The sequence below is a fragment of the Homo sapiens genome, chromosome 17 (assembly GCF_000001405.40).
Source record: "Homo sapiens chromosome 17, GRCh38.p14 Primary Assembly".
NCBI lineage: Eukaryota > Metazoa > Chordata > Mammalia > Primates > Hominidae > Homo > Homo sapiens.
Window position 1 is genome coordinate 34,041,789 of NC_000017.11, and position 20,932 is coordinate 34,062,720.

The following is a 20,932-nucleotide window of genomic DNA, read 5'->3' on the forward strand; positions in this document are numbered from 1 at the left end:
GGACTAGCAGAAGAAAACACATACTGCAATCTCCTAAGTAGTCTTTCACCTTTAATATTCCTCCCTCTGATCCATCCTGTGGAGTACCCTTTAGTAACACAAACCTGATCATGTCCCTTATGACCAAGGAATTATTCTGCTAGGCATATCCCCAACAGAAATATGTCCATATGTTCATCAAAAGACAGGAAAATTTGCTCAACATCATTCTCATTAGAGAATTGTAGGACAAACTCACACGAAGATTCCACTGCACACTTACTAGAATGTTTTAAATCCAGAGGACAAGCTTTTGATAAGTATGTAGAGCACTATAATCCTCATATGCTGCTGGTGGGAATATAAAATGGTACAACCACTTTGGAATCCAATTTAGCAGTTTCTTAAAAATGTAAACAACCACTTATTATATGACACAGCCCTTTCACCTCACATATTTACCTAATAAAAATGGAAGCATATGTCCCCCCAAAACTTATATATGAATATTTAAAACAGCTTTATGTGTAATAACCCACAACTGGTAACAACCCAAACATCCATCAACATGTGAATGATAAACAATAGAATACTACTCAACAATAAAAAAGAACAAATAATTACATACATAAACAGGAATAAATTTCAAAAGTAATTATCCCGAGTAAAAGAATCCAGTCTAAAAACAGCACACGTTGTATGATTCCATCCACATAATATTCTAGAAAATGCAAATTAGTATCTAGTAAGGGAAATCCAATCAGTGGAAGGCTGGAGACAGTGGTAAGGTGTGGGAAGGACAGGAGGGAGGAATGACAAAAGGACAGAAGAAAACATTGATGGGGACTATGAATTTGTTCTCTATCTTGATTGCTGTGATGGTTTCATCCATATATATCCGAACTTATCAAATTGTATAATTTGGGATAGCACTTGGTTTGAGCTGTTGCGGAGAAAGAGTTTTAGTACTTTTTATTGCTTTTTAGGAACTTATAATTTAGTTGAGATTTAGTTTATTAGCAATTTATGCCAATTATAATACAATAAAGCTATTTTAAGGACATGCATTGGAATGTTTACAACAGCTTTATTCATAATAGCCTCGAACTAGAAACAGTATAAATGTTCTTCAACAGTAAAATAAATAAATGTTGATTTATATATTTGCAGAATACTATATAGCAATGACAATAAACAAACTGCAGTTACATACAGCAACATGGATGATTGTCACAAACATAAAGCTGAGCAAAATAAGTTAGACACAAAAGAATACATAGTGCATGATTTTACATGCAGAAGGATGAAAATATACATGAAATAAACCCATGGTGTTAGAAATTAAGAGAGCATTGACTTTTAGGGAAGAAGGAAGGGCATGGTGGCAGGGTAGGATGGGAGCTCCAGGGATGCTGGTGATGCGGTATTCCCTGGTTCTGGTGATTCATTTATGGTGGTATCCTCTTATCATAATGCACTAAACTGTAAACTTGTGAATTTTCTATTTTTCTATATGTATGCTGTGCTTTAGTAAATAGGTTTATTTTTTAAAGGTTATTACATGGTATGTGATAAAAGGCAGCATTGATTGTGGCTAAACAAATGCCTTAAATGGAGGGGGGATGGGAAGCAGTAACATTATTAGGAGGAAGAGCAAAAGAGGTCTAAGGCTGTGTAGCCAGGAGTAGATGCCTAGGCACTTTTGGTTTGACAGACATTTTTCTATTCCTACAATGCAAAATGATTTCAAATATATAAATTTTAAAACCTTCCATTTGTTTAGTGCTTTAGAATTTATAGTTTGCATGGTCACAATTCTGCAAGGATAAGAACTCTGTTAATCCATGCAGAAAGTAGACATTCAGCAAATGTTTACTTGAGTGAATTTAAAACACTTTTACCTTCACTAATTTAATGATTTCTCACAAGTGTTCTGTAGATGAGCAGGGTGAGGGTTATTAGTTTCTTTTCATAGAGGGGAAAACCAAAGCCCCTAGGAGCTGAGGCCTCCTGCAGATGGGGGCAATGGACTGGGTGTGTTTTGAATCCTGGCTGGTGGCCTTTGAGCTCTGTGACCTTGGACAGGGCTGGAACCAAGAGTGCAATTCCCTGCCTTCAGCTGCAGTCTCCCTCCCTGGCCCAGTCATGAAAGCAAAAATGGGTCAAGTTCTAATTCCCTGATGGAGAGGCACACAATACAAAATTGGTGACCTTTACTATTCCAAAGGCATGCATACCCTCCCTGTTGAGGACACACAAAGATGCAACAAATTATCTTTGTTTTTATGGATAAAACAGCTCATACAAAATAAAAGTGGGCCATACCCTTGAATCACACACACACACACACACACACACGCACGCACACACACACACACACACCAAGAAGAAGGCCTGAAGGGACAGCAGCCAATCCCTTTGGAAGAACTGAGGGCTGTGTTGCCAGAGGATGCCCAGGTAGAAGCTAAGTCATGCTGTCCCTGGTGAAAAATTGCTTAGCGTAATTATATCCCCAGAGAATGCAGGCTTCCAGATGGGCCCCAGAGCATCCTTTACATACAGTATTTTAGGCCAATAACATGATTCTAATGAAGTAGGAAGGAAGAACAAGAATAATAAAATTAAAAAGTCAAATTTTCATCCTTAATCTCGAGGGCTGCAAATAGGATGCGGCTGTGGTTCAGAAGCAGAGAACGGAGAGGTGGGGGAAGAAGCCCATTTTGAAAGCGGCCAGGCGTTCCTAAAATGGTCCATGACAAGGGTGAACTTTAATCTCAATTTCTGCAGCTTGACCCACATCCCCTTGGAGGAGGACAGAACTTTTCAATGAGGAGGCACCTAGAGGAGGATCAGAAAAGTAAATACCAAATTCGTCTGTTTCTCCATCTCTCTTCCACTTGAGAAGTCCTCAGAGGATGTGGCCTTTAGTGGACGTGTTTGTCTGGAGTTGAAGGAACGGTGCCTGGGGATGAGTCCAGGAGCCCTGGTTGGAGACTTTCCAGCAGGCACATCCTCTCATCTGCAGTGTCCTGCTGATGAAGACTTCACATTCCTCTTGGGCTGCCCCTCATCATCTTGGCATCCCATGGTTCAAATGCCTCTGGAAGACTATTACTTGGAGTTACTCTGATTTATTTATTCAGCGTCTTCTCTGAGACACATACTAAGTGTCCAAAGATGAACAAAACTGTTTTCTGCCTCTGTCCTCAGTGAGCTCACAGTCGAACACAGGAAGTTGGATGAGGAAAATGATTCCTAGGTGTGGTGAGTCCTTCCATAGAGGGACGTGCTTAATGAGACCAGGGGTTGGGAGGAATGTGGACGTGGCACCATCTACCCTTTCCTTCCAGATCCTGAGAACCTGTGCAGGCCTGTGCCTGGCACCATCACAGCAAACAATCCTGCCTAGCATCCAAAAAGACTCCACCACTCTTCCCCTCCATCCCCTCTTCTTTACCAACACAGGTAGTAATATTCCCAAAGCACATCCTCCCCATCCCCATGTAAGGCAAACTAAAATACTACCCATGGGCAATGTGAGCCAGAGTTATGCCAGGGAACAAGACAAGTTCCACAGTAGCTACTTCTACACGAATTAACACTCTTAAAAGAAGATAATTAAAGCTGTAGTCTTCTTTGAAACTGGGAGCCCCTAATCTCTCTTCTACCTGCTGAGACTATACCAGGAATTCCACCTTTGGGTTCAATGATTTTCAGTCTTTCCCAAGAAGATTAATGGAAAAACTTCAAGACCACTGACCAAGGCCTCAGGAAGTGTAGGCTGCATCCCCACTGCTACTGTCTGTCTATATGACTTTCGGCAAGTTACTTTCCCTGCATGGACTTCTGTTTAGTCTTCTGCAGAATGAAGGGATTAAAGAGTTGTTTTATGTTCAGAAGAGGTGAGGCCTTAAGGGTCATAAAGTAACACATCGACAAAGACTAGTTTACCTCTGGCTGAAAGCAAAATTGGTCCTGCAGGAGAGAAGGGCAGGAAGAAGAAAACTGGGGTAGTTCCTACACAAACAAGGTCACTGACAATTTCTTATAACCCTGTATACAGACACCATTCCTCGCATTAAAAGATTAAATGAGTCTCTTTCCCTCAAAACTAGGCTGCCTTGCAAATTGCTTTGCTCAATGGAATATGGAGGTAGTATCACCATGCCAGTTTAGAGTATAGGGTTTTGGGGACCAGAAAACTCCCACTTTTGCCCTCTTGGAGTCCTGCACCACAATGTCAAGAGGCCTGACCACCCTGCTAGAGAGACCAAATGGGGTGCCAGAGATGCCTTTTTAGTTTCCCACTGTTTCAGCCATCTCTCTGCTGGGGCATCAAGCATGTGAATGAAACCATATTGAATTTTCAGCCCTAGTTGAGCTCCAGATGTTTACAGTCACATGACCAGGTAAGATGAGCAGAAGAACTTTCCAGCTGAGCCCTAACCAATTTACCAATTTGCGAGCAAATAAATAGTTGTTATGTTGAGCCACTAAGTGTTTGGACTGGTTTATTACGAAGCAACAGATAACCAAAACAGGTGCCAGAGGTAAATGTTATAAGTGACAACCTTACAAAGGCTGGTGACTATAGTTAGAGGTTTGGATTAGGGTTAGGAGCTTTGGGTTGTGCAATAGTACTTGAGAGAAATTGATCATTGAAAATTTATTTGTTAAAAAGACATTTCATTTTCATGGGATATGTTGTCACAGGAATTAATCAATGCTGGCTGGCCAAGCCCATGCAGATGACCTTCTGCCAAGGACTGGAAGCCAGCTTGGTTCCAAACATGGAGGAGGTAAGATTTTTATCCATAAATTCCCAACTTATTTCCATGCTGCCCTCCTCCCACACCAGTACCTACCCCAACTCTCACTCAAAGGACTAGAGATGAAAAACCATGGAAACGAATGGCTTTGTATAGTACTGAATGGGAAACATAGCAGCTGGGACTTAGAAAAGCAAAAGCTGTTATGTTGTTAATAACATTTTTATGGGTGATTTTGTTGTCTTTGATTGTAAAAGAAGAGTAATACAAGCTCCAGTTTGTTCTTTCAGGCCTGGGGGGTAGGCTTCCCTTATAGAACTCCCTGTCTGTTAGATTTACTCCCAGCTGAACCACATATACCTTCAATCCTCTCCCTCCCAATACTAATCACAAGAGCTACCAATTTTTGAGAACTCTCCATGCCAGCCATTGGGCTACAGAACTTATTTATGCTATCTCATTTAGTCCTTAAAATGAACCTTTGAGGACATACTATTCCCATCTTTATAGATTAGAAAACTAAAGGTCAGAGGTATTCATTAATGTCTTATACCTAATAAATGGTACAGCTGATATTTAAAGTGAGGTCTGCAAGGCCCCAAAGACCATGCACTTAACCATTTCTCCAAACAGAATACAGCTCCCATTACCAGGGCTACCCATTCACACATACATACGTGTATGTATTCAACATATTCATTTATTCAACATATATATAATGAGCACCTACTTTGTGAAGTAACAAATCATACATTAATGAACAAGACAGATATCATCTCAACCTTCATGAAGCCTACAGATTCCTACCGTGACATTCACCATAAACCCTCATTTCACAATGTCCCAAAACCCCCTTTCATATTTTAACCTCCCAGCCCTTCATCCCTACTTCTAGCCATGATTCTAATATTCTATAACATGGCTCTGACTTTGATCTTTGCTATTCTTAACATGATGTACACCTTTCTCCAGAAAAAAAAAAAAAAAAAAAAAAAAAGACTGGAGTATATTGATTACACCAATGGGCCAAATTTCCCACCCCTGATTATATCCATGCCCTTTGCGGCATGACTTTGTGGTTCTTTCCACAAAGTGTTGGAATCTTTCCATTCCCTGAATCTGGGCTGTTCTGCTGACTTGCTGTGACCAATGGAATGCTGCAGAAGTGACAATGTGCCAGTTCTGAGCCTGTGTCTCAAGAGCTTTGAATGCATGGGCTCACTCTCTGGTACCTCTGCCTCCACTGTGAGACTGCAGCCCTCATAAGTCAGTCAATATTCTAGGAACTGAAGATAAACTTGTAAAAGAAACAAGCATGGTCCCCACTCGGACAAAGTTTACACCCTAGTAAATCAATAAATCATAAATGAGAATCCTGGATTTGCCAGGTCAGAAGGAAACATTATACAACCTCAAATAATGCTTAAACTCCACACCATATCCTCAATAGGGCTTTGGACCCTTTCAAAAACAGGGAGCTCATTATGAGCTAACACAACAGTTCCAGTTTTTGATGGAACACTCTTGGAGAGATTTTTCTTCTAGTGAACGGAAGCCCATCCATTGGGAGTGTCCACACTTTGATTTATGGATATTTCTCAGGGCCACACACAGCATGTCTAACTGCCTGTGTGTTCTGAGTTCTCTCACTTCTAGGATACATCTTCTTCATTCTCTTAGCTATTTCTAAATGTCATGACTTTGAGACCCCTTGCCATTCTCTCTCCTGAACATGCTACCTTATTTTTCTACATTCTTCTAAAATTTGGTTCGGAGAAATAAACTCAAAACTTACCAACTTCTTGTACTACATTCCTCTTGGTGCTTCAGATTCCTTCATTTTAAATTAAAGAAGTTGAACTCGGTAGCTTGCAAGGAAAGATAGTAGATTGCAATGGAATGAATCCTAGATGCTCAACAGCCTCTCTCTGCTCTGCTTTATTTTCAGCACTGCTGCTGAAGCTGCCTATCTGCCTATCATCTCCCAAACCATCTTTACCTGTAAAGTCCTATTGTGCAGTAAAGAGACTTGAAATCAGAAGAACTGGTTCTGAATCCCAGTTCTGGCACTTTACAGCTAAACGACCTTGGACATATTACATAACTGCTCTATCTCAATTTCTTTATCCATAAATCTAGACCATCACTCCTTTCTTTCCAGCTCACAAGAATTGTGTAGGTTACAAGAGAGGGCATGGCGTGCTATGTGTGAACACAGTCTTCCATCGGATGTTGTGCAGATAAGAGATGGTATGTTGGTGCTGTCGTGGGAACTATAGACCAGCAACATAGTGAACACCATTCTATTTATGAAATATATTTATTGATTGACTTGGGGGCTCTGCTTCTCTGTGAAAATTAAATATGATTTTAATAATTCCAGAGAACAGACTGTGCGGTAATAATCGTCCCTCCTGATGGGTATATCATGTTTTGTGATGTTCTGAGGTAAGAATGACATTTAGGAATATGTTGTGGTGCCCAGGAGCAGTAGCTCACATCTGTAATCCCAGTACTTTGGGAGGATGAGAGAAGAGGATCACTTGAGCCCAGGAGTTCAAGACTAGCCAGGGCAACATAGACTGTCCCTACAAAAAAATTAAAAATTAGCCAAGTGTGGCGGTGCATGCCTGTGGTCCCAGGTGCTGAGGAGGCTAATGTGGGAGGATCACTTGAGCCCAGGAGATCGAGGCCACAGTGAACCATGGATTGTGTCACTGCACTCCTCCCTTGGGCAACAGAGCAAGACCCTGTCTCAAAACAAACAAACAAACAAACAAGAAATATGTTGTAGGCAATAGTCCTGGAAGGGGAAACTCCAGGATGGTAGAAGAGCCCTCCTGAGTTGAACTAAGGTCCAAATGGCCCAAGGTTCTGTCTTGTCCCGTTCCAGGAACAGGCTGCATTCCCTGCTGCACATCTCACCCTTCTCCTGCCCACCCACCACACTGCTCTCACATTGTCCTTCTCTGCTTCCACCTCTCCTTGGCTCCAAACTCCTCCATGATCAAGCCCATCCTCCCCAGTGGGGCTCATGAACACCTTGGTCACTCTGGCTTCCCACCTCCCAGTCAGATCCAATGGTCATGCACTTCTAAACTCCATCCTTTATCAAAACCCACTGTAATATTTCACATCTGCATGATATAAAACATGCAGTTCCTTTCAACTCAAAGTCCCTCTCTCTGCCTCTATTCATCTGATCAATTCTACTTACCCTTTGAAACTTCAAAACCCTTCAGAGAATCTTCCTCCGACAGGAATCCCAAGCTGATAATCTCCAGCAAACCTGCTCCACGGTGGTAATTACTCTCTCCTCTGTGTTCATGTTGGACCTTCAATAAACCCTGTTTCTCACATATTGAAATTCTCTGTTTACCTGCCTGACTCCTCAACTGTGAGAGCAGAGTTGAGTCCCCAACTATTTCTGAGTCTCCAGCAACAAGCATGGTTTGGCACATGGAAAATGTTTGAAACAGATTAGAAGAAGGTATGAGTATATCAAATAAGCAAAGATACTGGAATGATTTTGCATAACAATATTATACTCTGATCCCCATCCCAAAACTGAGCACCATTATCTTTCCACATGCCTGAACCTTGGGAGGCAAAGAATAGCCCAAGAAGAAAACAGAGAAAATATAACACAGTCCATCTTCTCTCATGAGACAAGAGTTTATGATTGCCAGGAAATGTGTAAATTGCAGCAGAGATTATTTGTCACCACTTCGTGAAAGGGCAGAAAACGGAGCTATTTTTTACAACTTCAAAAGCATGCACAGGTTGGGGCTACTGCAGTGGAAATGCCAGGTCTGTTATATGCAGATACATTGAGGTGGCAAAAAGACCTGCTTCTCTGGGGGGTGGGGAGGGGATGTGAAGGCTGGCACGGTTACTCATAAAGCTGCCTGGCTGCACAAGATTCTTGAAAAATCTCTTCCCACTTAATCAGAATATCAGAATCACAGAACTCAAAGATCAGGGTCCTGTGAACATGTTCTGTATTGGAGAATTTCTGTCCGTTTATGGATTTTAATCCTCTAAAAACTGATATCTATTTTTAGTTTCCATCTCATTAAATACAAAAGACCTTCATTGAACATCTACTCTGTGCTTGATGAAAGGAAGAAGCAACTCTGAATACATCACCCGAACCTCAAGCAGCTTATAGACCACATAGGAGCATGTGTAAGTTGTGTTCACAATCACACAACCACTTTAATGCAGAGCAAAAGATGATAAATGAGAAATTCAAAATGTTGTGAGCACTCAGAGGAAGACAAAAGGAGCACTTTGGAAGGATGAGGCCAAGATGTGGATGGCCAGGGTTTCAGCTCTAGTACCCAGCTCCTCACTATTTCCAGGAAAGGACAGCCTGCAGATGCCTGAATGCCTGCATGACCACTTCAGATGAAATGGGTTGTGATTGAGGCTTGCAGATAGGTGTTTATTTCCATGAATCAAACCTGCTCTCTCTGCTGCTGATCTGGAGAAAGAAACACTTCCAGACTTAAGATTCTTTATTGTGCAATTGCTTTCCTGCAACTCTTGGGTGTAGGTTGGTTTGTCCAGAAATGCCAAATTCCAGAGAACAGCAGAGAAAAAAGAGTGATTTTGCTTGATACTAGCAACATCACAACTAATCCCTTTCTCAAACAAGCTCATGGCAGCAAGCAAACTGGTGACGTGTGACTCCTCTTTAATCCTCTTAGCTCATCTCCCTCTAGTGAATCCAAATGTTACCAGTGCCAGGGACTAGCATCCTGGAGCAGGGCTGTGGTGGAAAATGCACAGGATCTGTTCTCGGAACACTTGGGTGGGTCCTTAGCTCTACCACTTTCAGCTGTGCACCTTTGGGTTAGCCGCAACCTCCCTCAGCCTGCCTCAATTCCCTCACCTGTAAAATTGGATTGGTGATCTGGGGATCAGAGTAGAAAATGTGTATGAAATTGCCTTATTAATTGCAAAGATAAGTCAGGACTATCAGTTATTTTCAAATTGTGCATATCCACCCTTCTTAAAAGGCCTGGTGCCCTTCTGAATGGGCATGGAGGTTCATGCCTCCTTTGCTTTTGGATTTCCTCAACCTCACACAAGGTCTGACATTTAATGAGCACCTCAGTGCATTCTTGTTAGATTAATAAGTGAACAAATTGCAACATGTTACCCTGGAGGTTAAGGCTTCTGTCTTCCTTCCAAGCTGAAAGGTAAAGAGAGAAAAATTAATTTACAAAATGTTTGGAATCATCAGCATGAATTCTAAAATAATTAGAATTTTCTGAACACACACACACACACACACACACACACATACACACACACAGAGAGAGAGAGAGAGCGAGAGAGCGAGAGAGCGAGAGAGTGAGTTTTTTCCTTCTGGTAGCTGGAAGTCTACATTAAATTTGAAGAACATCTTGCCCTAAAATGGTTTGGCTCCTGGTTATGTGAATATATTTTGCTTAGCACTAAGGGAATAGAGATGGATTAGTAGGTCAGATACTTGGTTCTCATTCTTGATTGATTCATCCACTCTTTCATCCATCCATCCATCCCTCCATCCATCCACTCATTCATTCATTCACTCACTGGCAACAATTTGTTCCAAAGCACTGACTGTGTGAAAGCTCAGCCTCATTACAAGATGAAAAATGTTGGAGCAGCATTTTGGCTGACAAACCACCACTGATCCTTCCAGACCTTATTGCCCCTGAGCCAAGAAACATTTGAAATCGTACTACTGCCCCCACATACGGCATTTAGTGCCACCTCTTATCTTCAGTTTGATAGTTTCAGGGACCAAAATGCTGAGACTTTCTCCCTTTAGATAACATTCCTGTGACTGGGATATATTGCCACCGGAATCCTCCAAAAATCCCATCTCCGAAAAGACTGTTCATGGCAAGTGGGAGTCTACACGGAGAATGGCGACGATTACTTTGGACTGTAGAACATGTGACTGGACTGTATACATGCTGCACTTATTGCCTCCCCACCATCCTTCCACCCTCTTTCTGTGGCTGTACCCAACACAACTGCTCTGTCTTCCTCATCCCTAGTAAATAACCCTGCCTATGAATCTCACTTTTTTTTTTTTTTTGAGATGGAGTTTAGCTCTTGTTGCCCAGGCTGGAGTGCAATGGCGTGATCAAGGCTCACTGCAACCTCTGCCTCCCGGGTTCAAGCGATTCTGCTGCCTTAGTCTCCCAAGTAGCTGGGATTACAGATGCTTGCCATCATGCCCAGCTATTTTTTTTGTATTTTTAGTAGAGATGGGATTTCACTATGTTGGCCAGGCTGGTCTCAAACTCCTGACCTCAGGTGATCCACCCGCCTCGCCCTCCCAAAGTGCTGGGGTTACAAGTGTGAGCCACCATGCCCAGCCAAATCTCACTTTTCCATCCCTCATCTTTTCTCCCTTCTCCTTCCTTCCACCCTCCTTTCCTCTGACTATTCCAATTTTATACTTAGTTCTCATGCACCAGACCTAGGCTTGGAGGGATAAAATCTCTTCTGCAGTGCTTGCTGTTCCAAGCTGCTCACCACATCCTCTGCCCTTTATTCCACTCCCTTCATGTTCCAACCACTGATCAACCCCTAAGAAAAAAAACAAAACATTTCCTTCTTATGCTTTATGCCTCCAAATTTTGTTCTCCCTGGGTTGCTGCCTCTCTCTCAGGCTGGCGGCTCCATTGTTATTATGATCGTATATTAAGTTTAATGCGTCCACAGGCATTTTACACACTCATAAAAGTCAGGCCCTCTAAGAGCTCCCTGTGCTGAAGACACTGGAAATGCTCTCCCAGGCCTTAGTGCCATTATGGCCTCTGTGCAAAGCTGGGTGGGTGGTGGCTGTTTATTGTTGTCTTTGTAACTCTTGATGATAAATACAGCATTTTGAAAAAGATCAAATCATTTCCCAGGTTATAAGCAGAGCTGAAGTGATTACTTCCATATGGGCAACATCCCACAGTATTAAAGATATTAATAATAGGTGACCTTTATTGAGTATATACTATATGCCACACTGTGCACTAAACATTTTTACATGCATTAGCCCACATAATCTGCCCAATTAACCTGTGTGACAGGTAAGATTTAATTTCAAATAAACATTTGGTAATAAAAGGAAATTGAGAGACAGAGAAATTAGGTACTGAGTTCAAGATCAAAGAGCATAGAGGTGGAAAAACTGGGATTATTCAAACTCAGGATGTCTGGCTTCAAAGCCCACCTGCTTAATCATATGCAGGTACTGGCATTTGGAAGAAGTCCATCTTTAAGGTGGAGGAAACCAAATATAGGTGGGACTAATTGGCAGATATTGTTGGTGTGCTCCTCTGTCTATGAAAGCCATGCCCAGAGTCTTCCTTTCTCAGTCCCTGACAAGACTCAGGTACCTATAAGACCTCCATTCTGTACAGGGTTTGTCTTTGTTTTCCCCAGCATAAGAGACAATGGAAAACGAGAGCAAAGGACTCAGACCAGAGCAGACCTTGTAGAGTGGGAGTCATAAGTACCGCAAACCTGCACAAGAGATGAAAGAGCAGTCAACCGTATGTTCTTTTCATGGAATACTAACTCTGTAAATAATCTTGCATGTGCTCTAGTCCAGTTTCCTAACAACAGGTACATGGATTGATTAGCCAAATTATTCCCATTGCTTCTCTGTCATAATCAGTGTTTTCATTACATGCGTCCCTTTCCCTCATTGCTCTTCATTTTCCTCACTCAAGACATCTATGAGCTACAATATCATTTTACCTGGGAGACATTGATGTCAATGAAGTACGTTTTTGAAGTACAAAGCTCCAAGAGGCTGTTATTTGTCCAGAGCCATGAAACATGTTAATGCAGAGCTTGAATTTCTACTTCCTGGCTCACAGTATAGTGCTTTTTTCAAGCAATGAGTGGAGATGTATGGGTACCCTCCTTTCCCAGATTACTTCCATCACAAGGACCAGCTGCTAAACTCATACTGGTAGCATCCTACCCAGTACCAGCCTTTCTGAATAGTCTCCCATAGTTCCAATTCACACATACACATTTGCCAGATGGTCTTCAAAACATGCCAAAATAGTTATCATGTCCTACCCGATATTTGCTCCAACTGCATCCTCAGTCTCATGATCTTTAAATTTACTGCTGACCATGGTGCTAGTCAGAGCAACATAAAAGGACATGCTTAACCTCAGGGCTGAAGGAGATGACATAGGTGAAGGATAGCACTCACTGATGCATAGAGACTCAGAAAACAGAAAACAAGGTGCTGTTCTAGGAATTTAGCATAAAATGGCAACTGAGAGAGACATTATGCATGCCTTCATAGTCTGTCTTCTAGTGAGGAGATAGATGAGCAAGTAACCAAAATGTATCTATTGGGAGGGCTTCTTGAAGACTTAAAGCACAAGAAGAAAACAATCATGTGAAGAATGGAAGAAGAGAGGTCCATCCAAAGAAATGACTCATCCAAAGGCCCTGCATTTGGAAAAATCTTGGCATACTTAGCTACCTCTCAGAGAGTCCAGTGGGACTAAAGGACAGGAAGACAGGAGGAGAGAGGAAGAGGATATAAAGTGGCCAGCAGTTAGATGGTGCAGGACCATTTAAATCATAACATATAGCACAGGCTTCACTCTGTCTGCAGTAGAAAGCCATTAAATTGGTTTAAGCCACGAAGAGACACGATTCGATTTATATGTTAAAATAACATCTTATTATGGAAAATTTCCAACATTTACAAAGTAATCCAAATAATATAACGAACCTTCATGTGTCCATCACCCAGATTCAACAAATTATCAAAAATTTCCCATTCCTGCATCATTTACAGATCATTTACTCCCTGCCCTCCCACTTGTTTACTGTCTTTTTTACAGTTTTATTTTCCTCTTTTTGAGGTAAAATTTACTTACAATAAAATGTACAAATCCTAATTTTGACAAATGAAACTCCGATTGTTATCTCAGAACATATTCATCTTCCCAGAAAGTTCCTTCTTGTTTCCTCTTAATCAATCCCTACCAATTAACCCCCAAGAAACAATGATTGTGCTTGCCTTTTTATCTTAGTTTTGCTTATTCTAAAAGCTCATATTCATGAAATCACACGGTATTTTCTTGTGTCTTTTACTCAGCATGTTTTTAAAATTCATTTATGTTGTGTGTGTCAGTAGTTTGCTTTTTAAAAACTGATTAGTATTCCGTTGTATAAATATACAATATGTTTGTCAATTAACTTGCTGATGGACATTTGGATTGTTCCCAATTTTTGGCTAATGTAAATAAACCTGCTATGAATGTTGTACAATTATTGCTGTAGACATATGTTTTTGTTATTCTTGGCTAAATACCTAGGAGTAGAATTAATTTACACGTTTTTAAGCATTGGGAATAGAGTAGAGGGGGCAGGGATGGTGGCAAGAAAAGCAGTTAAGAGGCTATTACAGTAGTTGAGAAAAGAGACTAGGATGACTTACACTGGGCAGTAATTGTAGTAAGACTGTCAGGGGACAGATTTGAAATATATATTGATAAATACGGTCAAGAATATTTGCCAGTGAATTAAATGTGAGGGGTGAGAGAAATGGAAGAATGGTCTCTAGCTTGAAAAACTGGGTGCCTATTAGGATCTTTTACTGCAATTAAGAAAGTGGAGGAAGAACAATAATTTAGGCAACATCCAAGGATTTCCATTTGCAATGGCTGAGGCATGGCAGAGTAGACATTAAGCAGACACATGGAGCCTGCAGCTTGGGAAAGAGGCTGACCCACCATCACCTGGCACACAGCTTCTGCACTGCTCAGGTCCTGCCTTCTCCCTAAAATACCTCAACATCTTGTGGAGGGATGGAAAATGGGTTTTGTTTTATGAACCAATTCTGGTAATTGGTAATAGCTACCTGTGACACTGTGCAAAGAAAGATTCTGAGACCACATTCTGGGCTGGTAGGTAAGGAGTGCTGTGAGTGGTAAAGCATGTCCTTCTGGAGCATGGAGTAGCAGTACAATGGAAACAACTCAGATATTTTCTATGCCTGAGAAAATAGAAGTCCACAACCAAATCAACCTAAAAAGTGAAGAATTTGCTGTGGAATAACTAACTAATTAATAATACAGACAGAAGTCCAAACTGTGCAAATATACAGATTGACCCATATAGGTCAATCTATATTATTTACTTCTCAATTTCAACTCCTCTACCAAATAACCTACTGATTCAGTATCCTTCAGGTCCTCAGTAAATGCTTCTGACTTTTCACCTGATCTCCAAATTGCAAAAATCCCAAAATATGCTGAGTTCCTCATCGTTGGCTGGGATCCTCTCATATCTTGAGGTTAAACAACCCATTCGTGTGAAAACACAGTTCAAAGGATTTCAAACTTTTAAATACAATGATGAATCATTTAAATACCCTGGGGGAAATGTCAAAGAGTGGATTAGACAGATAATCAATGTATAATAGTTGCCTCGTCTTTTCATTCCCAACTGAAGCCATAGGTGAGTTGTTCTCATTATTAATAAAACTATCTATTCATTCATTTATTCATTCATTCATTTAATCATCAACCTTTTGTTGGGCACTAAATTTATGCCAGGCCCCATACTTGGACCTGAGTAGAGAGACAAATAAGTCTATTTACACATAGAGACATGTAAATGATCCCAAGGAGAGTTAGATACCACATTCCTCTGTTAAATATTCCAAAGACAAGTGAGAGAAACTCTTCAGGAGGTAGAAAAGCTAAACTCAGTCTTGAAAAACTATTAAATTAAAAGTTTCTCTGAAGGAAGTATTGGGAAAGGATATTCTAAACAGAGAAGCCAGCATGAACAGGTCTGAACATGGGATGGAGCAACTGGTGGGTGTTAAAGCCCAAGGAGGGTGTGATTGAGGAAATGGGCTGTCGCAGTAGAGGTGTGAGTGCCTGTCTGATGATGGGACTTGGTGCAATTATGGCTGCAATGGGAGTCATTACTGGAGCTTTAGTAGGAGGACGGATATAATCAGATATGTATTTTAGAAAGATTTTGTAGTAATGTGGTGACTGCAGGAGGGGAGGAAATACAACAGAAAGAAAATTGCAGGCAGGAAGCAACAGGAAGTGAGGAAGTAAGGAAAAAGAGGGCGAGGCACAGAGGCAAGAGGGTCAAGGATTAGGACTGCGGGTTAGGATTAGTGCTAGTGCTTGGCAATAGAAACTAAACAGAGAAGAAGGTAGAAGTTCAGACTATGAGAGAGTGCATGTAGCTGAAAATAGAAACCTCATAATGTACCTGTGCAGGGTACTTTGGAAATGCCTGTGATAGAACCAAAGTCTGTCTAACTCCAAAGCCAATACTTTCCACATTTTCACACTCCCAGGTAGCTTTATTCTTGTTCCCACCTCCTCCTGCAGTAGTAACAAACCTCCAAGAGCCCATAGTCCCAGACATTTTGACACCTACACCCATGTACTTGTGTGCGTGCACAACTCTACCTACCTAAACACGGTCTAATCCTACTTATTTTTCTCTAAAGCCTAACTCAACTTTCTCCTTGTCCAAGAAGACTTGTCACAGCTCCTTACCTGAAAATTACATATTTCTAAGTGCTAACCTCTATATTTACTCTCATCTCTTTTTACATTTTACCTTATATCTGAGTCGGTTCTGTACATGTCATCTTCTGGCTAGACAGTGAGCTTGCTGAGGCTGCCTATGTAAGATGCACCTCCGAGTTTTCTTTGAGGGTTCAATGATACTGAATGACATAAGCCCTTGCTGCATGTGCCACCTCACTGGGTCATCTCACCTTCCGAACCAAGCTTATCAACAGTAGATTATAACCACCTTATAGATGAAGAAACAGCCTGGAGGAACAGCCCTTGAATCCAGATTTTCTCATTTGTTCTCTTATCTCTGGTGGTCCTCATTCCCAGGATTACCCACTGTGAACTGGATACCAGGGCTTCATGGGTAAAGCATATTATTAAAACAAATGCTTAGCTCAGACTTTCATTCCTGTAGCACTAGCTGCTCAATTCAAAGACAGGTAGCAGGCCTTGAAACGCTGTCCTTGAAACCTCCTTCTCTTCTTTCTCCTCCTAGATCAACTGACTGTATGGATCTCAGGGAAATGTATTAGCATTTCCTCCTACATATTTAGGGAACAGAAATGTGGATCCCCGTTTTCTTTGTGGGAATGCAGATACTTAAGATAGGAGGGGAGGGGAGGAGAGCAGAGCTAGCTGGTCTTCCAGGGACTCCATGAGGTGACATCATGCTCACTGAGCATTTTCCATGTGCCAAATACCGCACTAAGCATGTCATTTTGGTTCTCTTCAGATAATCTGCTAGGTAGGTATTATGACCTATATTTCATAGAAGAGGAAAGTGATGCTAAGTGATATGAAGGAACTTGTTCAAGTTCATACCACCAGCAAATGGCAGAACCAAGATTTAACAATTGTTTAGGGATCATGGCAGACAGGAGGCAGGACTAGATTGCAGCTCCGGACAGAGCAGCATGTGGAGGCTTGCACTGTAGATTTGAGCTCTGGATCAACTGCAAGAACAAACTAGCAATCCCAAGAGGACCCACAGACCCTCTGAAGGAAGTGGACTGCTCCTGCAGGACCTGGGAGACACCCCAAATACTGTGAGTGCTCTAACTGCGGAAATGAAAAAGGGAGACCCTTCTCTCCCAAACACACACCCCCACTGGAGAGGTTGAAGGTCTGTTTGTGGGAGAAGCTTCTGACTTTACCTGAAGCTGAGTAAAGTTAGAGAGCTGAGCAAAATACAGGGGTAGAGGAAGCAACAGAAAGACCCTGGGTCTCTAAGCAGCCCATTCTTGCCTGGCATTACAGGGAACCATCAGGAGGGTGGCGAGAGGAGCAGAGGGTAAAACTCCACAGGGAGAAGAAATTCTCTAGCTGAGCTTTTTAACAACTTCAGTGGGGTGAGAAGCCTCCTGGCCAGAACTCAGGGCAGGGCGCAAATTGGGCGTGCAGACTTCATAGGCAAGGAAAGAAGTAAAGCCCTTTTCTTTTGCAGCTGGGAGGCAGATAGCTTTGGGCAAGTTTTCAAGCCCATCTCACCCTCCTCCTGCAAACAGACTTGGTGCTGCTGTGGGAGGGGCACGGTGAGAATGCGACCAGCCCTTTGGTTGGCATAGGAGCTGGGTGAGGCCTGTGACTGCCGGCTTTCCCCTACTTCCCTGACAACCTGCGTGACTCAGCAGAGGCAGCCATAATCCTCCCCGGTACACAACTCCAGTGACCTGGGAATCTCACCCGCATCCCCCACAGCAGCTGCAGCAAAACCCGCCCAAGGAGAGTTTGAGATCAGACAGGCCTAGCCACGCCCCCACCTGAAGGTTGTTCCCTACCCACCCTGGTAGCAAAAGACAAAGGACATATAATCTTGGGAGTTCTAGGGCCCTGCCCACCACCAGACCCCTCTCTACACTACTACAGCTGATACTTTCTGGAAAGTGCCACCTCCTGGCAGGGGGCCAACCAGCACAAAAATAGAGCATTAAACCACCAAAGCTAAGGAGTCTCACAGAGTCCATTGCACCATCTGCCACCTCCACCAGAACAGGTGCTGGTATCCACAGTTGAGAGACCCATAGATGGTTCACATCACAGGACCCTGTGCAGACAACCTGCAGTACCAGCCTGGAGCCAGGTAGGCTCACTGGGTGGCTAGACCCAGAAGAGAGACAACCATCACTTCAGTTCTGCTCAGAGGAAGCCACATCCATAGGAAAAGGGGAAGCGTACTATATCAAGGGAATATCCTGTGAGAAAAAAGAATCTGAACAACAGCCTTCAGCCCTAGATCTTCCCCCTGACAGAGCCTATCCAAATGAGAGGGAATCAGAAAATCAACTCTGGTAATATGACAAAACAAGGCTCTTCAACACCTCCCAAAAAATCACACTAGTTCACCAGCAATGGATCCAAACCAATAAGAAATCCTTGATTTACGTGAAAAAGAATTCAGGAGGTTAGTTATTAAGCTAATCAGGAAGGGACCAGAGAAAGGTGAAGCCCAATCCAAGGAAATAAAAAAAATGATACAAGAAGTGAAGGGAGAAATATTCAAGGGAATAGATAGCATAAAGAAAAAACAAGCAAAAATTCAGGAAACTTTGGACACACTTTTAGAAATGCAAAATGCTCTGGAAAGCCTCAACAATAGAATTTAACAAGTAGAAGAAAGAAATTCAGAGCTCAAAGACAAGGTCTTCAAATTAACCCATTTCAACAAAGACAAAGAGAAAAGAATAAGAAAATATGAACAAAGCTTCCAAAAATTCTGGGATTATGTTAAATGACCAAACCTAAGAATAATCAGTGTTCCTGAGGAAGAAGAGAAATCTAAAAGACTGGAAATATATTTTGGGGAATAATTGAGGACAACTTCCCTGGCCTTGCGAAAGACCTAGACACCCAAATACAAGAATAACAAAGAACACCTGGGAAATTCATCACAAAAAGATCTTCGCCTAGGCACATTGTCATTAGGTTATCCAAAGTTAAGATGAAGGAAAGAATCTTAAGAACTGTGAGACATAATCACCAGGTAATCTATGAAGGAAAACCTATCAGATTAACAGCGGATTTCTCAGCAGAAACCCAACAAACTAGAAGGGATTTGGGACCTATCTTTAGCCTCCTCAAACAAAACCATTATCAGCCAAGAATTGTGTACCCAGTGAAACTAAGCATCATATATGAAGGAAAGATACAGTAATTTTCAGACAAAGAAATGTGGAGAGAATTTGCCATTACCAAGCCACCACTACAATAACTGCTAAAAGGAGCTCTAAATCTTGAAACAAATCCTGGAAACACATCAAAACAGAATCTCTTCAAAGCATAAATCACACGGGACCTATAAAACAGAAATACAAGTTAAAAAGCAAAAACAAAAGACAAAATACAACCAAAGTACACAGGCAACAAAGAGCATGATGAAAGCAACGGTACCTCACATTTCAACACTAACATTGAATGTAAATGGCCTAAATGCTCCACTTAAAAGATACAGAACCACAGAATGGATAAGAACTCACCAATCAACTATCTGCTGCCTTTAGGAGACTCACATAACACAAAAGGACTCACATAAACTTAAAGTAAAGGGGTGGAAAAAGGCATTTCATGCAAATGGATACCAAAAGTGAACACGGGTAGCTATTCTTATATCAGACAAAACAATCTTTGAAGCAACAGCAGTTGAAAGAGACAAAGAAGGACATTATATAATGGTAAAAGGCCTTGTACAACAAGAAAATATTACAATCCTAAACATACACGCATCTAACACTGAAGCTCCCAAATTTATAAAACAATTACAACTAGACCTAAGAAATGAGATAGACAGCAACACAGTAATAGTGGGGAGCTTCCATCCTCCACTGATAGCACTAGACAGGTCATCAAGACAGAAAGTCAGCAAGGAAACAATGGATTTAAACTATACCTTGGAACAAATGGACTTAGATATGTACCGAACATTTCATCCAACAACCATAGAATACACATTCTATTCGACAGTGCATGGAACTTTCTCCAAGATAGACCATATAATAGGACATAAAACGAGCCTCAATAAATTTAAGAAAATTGAAATTATATCAAGCACTCTTTCAAACCACAGTGGAATAAAACTGGAAATCAACTCCAAAAGGAACCTTCAAAACCATGCAAATACATGGAAATTAAATAACCTTCTCCTGAATGAGCACTGGATCAAAAACAAAATCAAGATGGAAATTAAAAAATTCTTCAAACTGAATGACAATAAATGACACAGCCTATCAAAACCTTTGGGATGCAGCAAAAGTGGCGTTAAGAGCAAAGTTCATAGCCCTAAATGCCTACATCAAAAATTCTGAAAGATCACAAACAATCTAAGGTCTCACGTTAAGGAACTAGAGAAAGAAGAACAAACCAAACCCAAATCCAGTAGAAGAAAGTAAATAACCAAGATCAGAGCAGAACTAAATGAAATTGAAACAAAAAAAGATTACAAAAGATAAATGAAACAAAAAGCTGGTTCTTTGAAAAGCTAAGAAAATTGATAGACCATTAGCAAGATTAACCAAGAAAAGAATAGAGTAAATCCAAATAATCTCACTAAGAAATGAAAAAGTATATATTACAACTGACACCACTGAAATACAAAAGATC

The 20,932-nt window shown here is 41.4% G+C and overlaps 1 protein-coding gene and 1 long non-coding RNA gene across 2 annotated transcripts in view, besides 1 other annotated feature; both read right to left on the reverse strand.

The window, feature by feature from the left end:
• The window catches only part of ASIC2 (acid sensing ion channel subunit 2), a 1,143,682-nt gene that overhangs the window by 1,028,702 nt on the left and 94,048 nt on the right, over positions 1 to 20,932 (reverse strand). The gene's annotated exons all lie outside the window — the stretch shown is intronic.
• The window catches only part of LOC107987247 (uncharacterized), a 51,173-nt gene that overhangs the window by 22,064 nt on the left and 8,177 nt on the right, over positions 1 to 20,932 (reverse strand). Inside the window, exons 2-4 of the long non-coding RNA XR_002958159.2 lie at positions 11,233 to 11,342; positions 7,966 to 9,948; positions 6,544 to 6,616 (exon numbers count right to left, since the gene is read on the reverse strand). This is a non-coding gene — a long non-coding RNA (uncharacterized LOC107987247). The remainder of the gene's footprint in view (positions 1 to 6,543; positions 6,617 to 7,965; positions 9,949 to 11,232; positions 11,343 to 20,932) is intronic.
• Positions 1,318 to 2,517: an enhancer, noted in NCBI's record as "BRD4-independent group 4 enhancer chr17:32370125-32371324 (GRCh37/hg19 assembly coordinates)". NCBI's record gives its function as "activates an origin of replication core promoter dependent on BRD2, P300/CBP, MED14 and CDK7 cofactors, and independent of BRD4, by STARR-seq in HCT116 cells {active_cell/tissue: HCT116}" and the evidence as "EXISTENCE:reporter gene assay evidence [ECO:0000049][PMID:35650434]".